Source organism: Homo sapiens, chromosome 12, assembly GCF_000001405.40.
Source record: "Homo sapiens chromosome 12, GRCh38.p14 Primary Assembly".
Classification (NCBI taxonomy): domain Eukaryota; kingdom Metazoa; phylum Chordata; class Mammalia; order Primates; family Hominidae; genus Homo; species Homo sapiens.
Genome location: NC_000012.12, coordinates 130,212,441 through 130,214,505, shown reverse-complemented (window position 1 = coordinate 130,214,505; position 2,065 = coordinate 130,212,441).

Here is a 2,065-nt window from a genome sequence, read left to right as displayed (position 1 = left end):
ATATTGGTCGACACACACATGTGAAGCTCCCACATGAAATATCAAAAATAACCCCCTTAACTGTTAATCAGAAAACACAAGCAGGTCTTAATTAGAGGGTGATGATTTGCTTTATGGACTCAAAAGTCTCAGAGAGGGTAGATGGCATTTATGTCTTATTGTAGATTTCTAGACCCTTAGATAAAATCTGCAAGAAGCAAGGTGGAGGCACATCTTTGCATTTTCATAGCTCAAAACAATTGAGCTTAAATACAGTCCATTTTTCCACTTAGCACCTTTATGCAACTCCATGAATTCTGGCAAATTCTCCAGACAAGATGATCATAACAGAGAAGAAACCACATTTGTCCTTTTTTAGCATGTGTGCTGGCAGAACCAGACATGTTGGAGAAACACAGTCCAAGGGGGTGAGCATTGTTAGGGAGAGAGGGGATCAAAGGGCTGAGATGGCCCATGCATGCCTTGGATGACAGAGAAAGCTGTTTTATGATTGGAAGTTAAAAAGCCCCATAAGATTCCAGGTGCCTGGAAACAGGAGATGACAGAATCCTGCGGGAGGGAGGCCATTGCTGCTGGCGTCTGTGCCTCCACAGATGCTTTAAAGAGGTAGGAGATAAGACCAGAGTTGTATCTGGAGCACATAACTTCCCATTTAACTCTACTTCAGGACTGGAGTAGCTGAGTGGGGTCATGTGTCATCCGAATTAAAGGTTATTGAGCTGGAGCCAGTGGAGGGAGTGCCAAAGGAGAATATGACCCATGCTCCCCCCAGCCCTTCTCCAAGCAGGTCTTCAAGGTTTGCAGAGTGAAGAGAAGAGCTGCTTCACCTGGGAGGATGTGGGAGCTGGACAACTCCACTCATCAAGATTAATAGAACCTCCTTATCCCCAATACAGTATCTTACAGAAGATAGCAATCTATTTCCCTCTCACGTGAAAGCAACCTGCAGGTGGGCAGCTCAGGTTAATATGGCATGTGGAGAGTTTCAGGGATCCGTGGACTTTGTGGCTTTCATGTTTGCTATTTCTAGGGTGTGGAGCTTGACTTCCTAGTCCAAGAAGGCTGCAGGACCTCCAGCCCTCTCTTCTGCATTCCATGTATTCCAAGCACGAGGAAGAGGCAAGGAAGAGGAGGTCAGGAGCCAGCAAAGCTGCCTTCTAAGACAGCTTCATGAAAGCAGCCTCATGTTTTCCACTTTTATCTCAATGACCGGAACATAGTCACACAGATACACCAAGCTCCAGTGAGAATGGGGAGTGGACTGTTCTCTTCTAGACAGCCAGGCACTGTCAAGGAACTGTCTCCAAGCTGCTGACCAACAACAGTGAGAGATCTATTGATGAAACTCCTTAGGCAGCTCTAGGAGTCTTTGACAACTCAGAGTCCTCAGTTTCCATATACACACATGGAGTTATACATAGCAAATCTTATATTTGTTGTTGATGTATGTTAATGAAAGAAAAAGACTTAAAATATTGCCACACAATTACTAAATAGTATTTGGGAGGAAGCTTCTCTTTGTGGAGTTATTCCACTGAATGGATGAGGAAACAAGAGAACGGAGCATTAACATTTGGCAAGCCTTCTTAAAATAATGGATCCAGGCATTGAACACAGGTCTGTTAACATAACAAAATGAAAGACAATCAAGCATCGTATGCCTCCTTGTAAGACAACACCTCACGTAGATAGATTTCCTGTTTAAAAAAATCGAGTTTCATGAACCCCACTGCTCCAGCTTCCAATCCACAAAAAAACACAGAAGACAGAGAAAAATATTACACAACGCCCCACAAGGACATGATTAGCAAAATCGAAACTAGGAAACAGGACAAAAGAAACTGGTTTCTTCCACAAATGTTGAAAAAAAAAAATGGCTGGGAACTCCAGAGATGAAAACAAAAGATAGTACAGCCAGTCAGCAGGTGTGGAGCTGTTCAGCGCCTGGTTCAAACCGACAAGTAGAACCTAAAATCAAAGAGACTTGGTTTGACCCCATATGACTTTTAGAAGACAACCGGAAATTTGAATACTGAGTGGATTTTTGTTGATATTAAGGAATTAC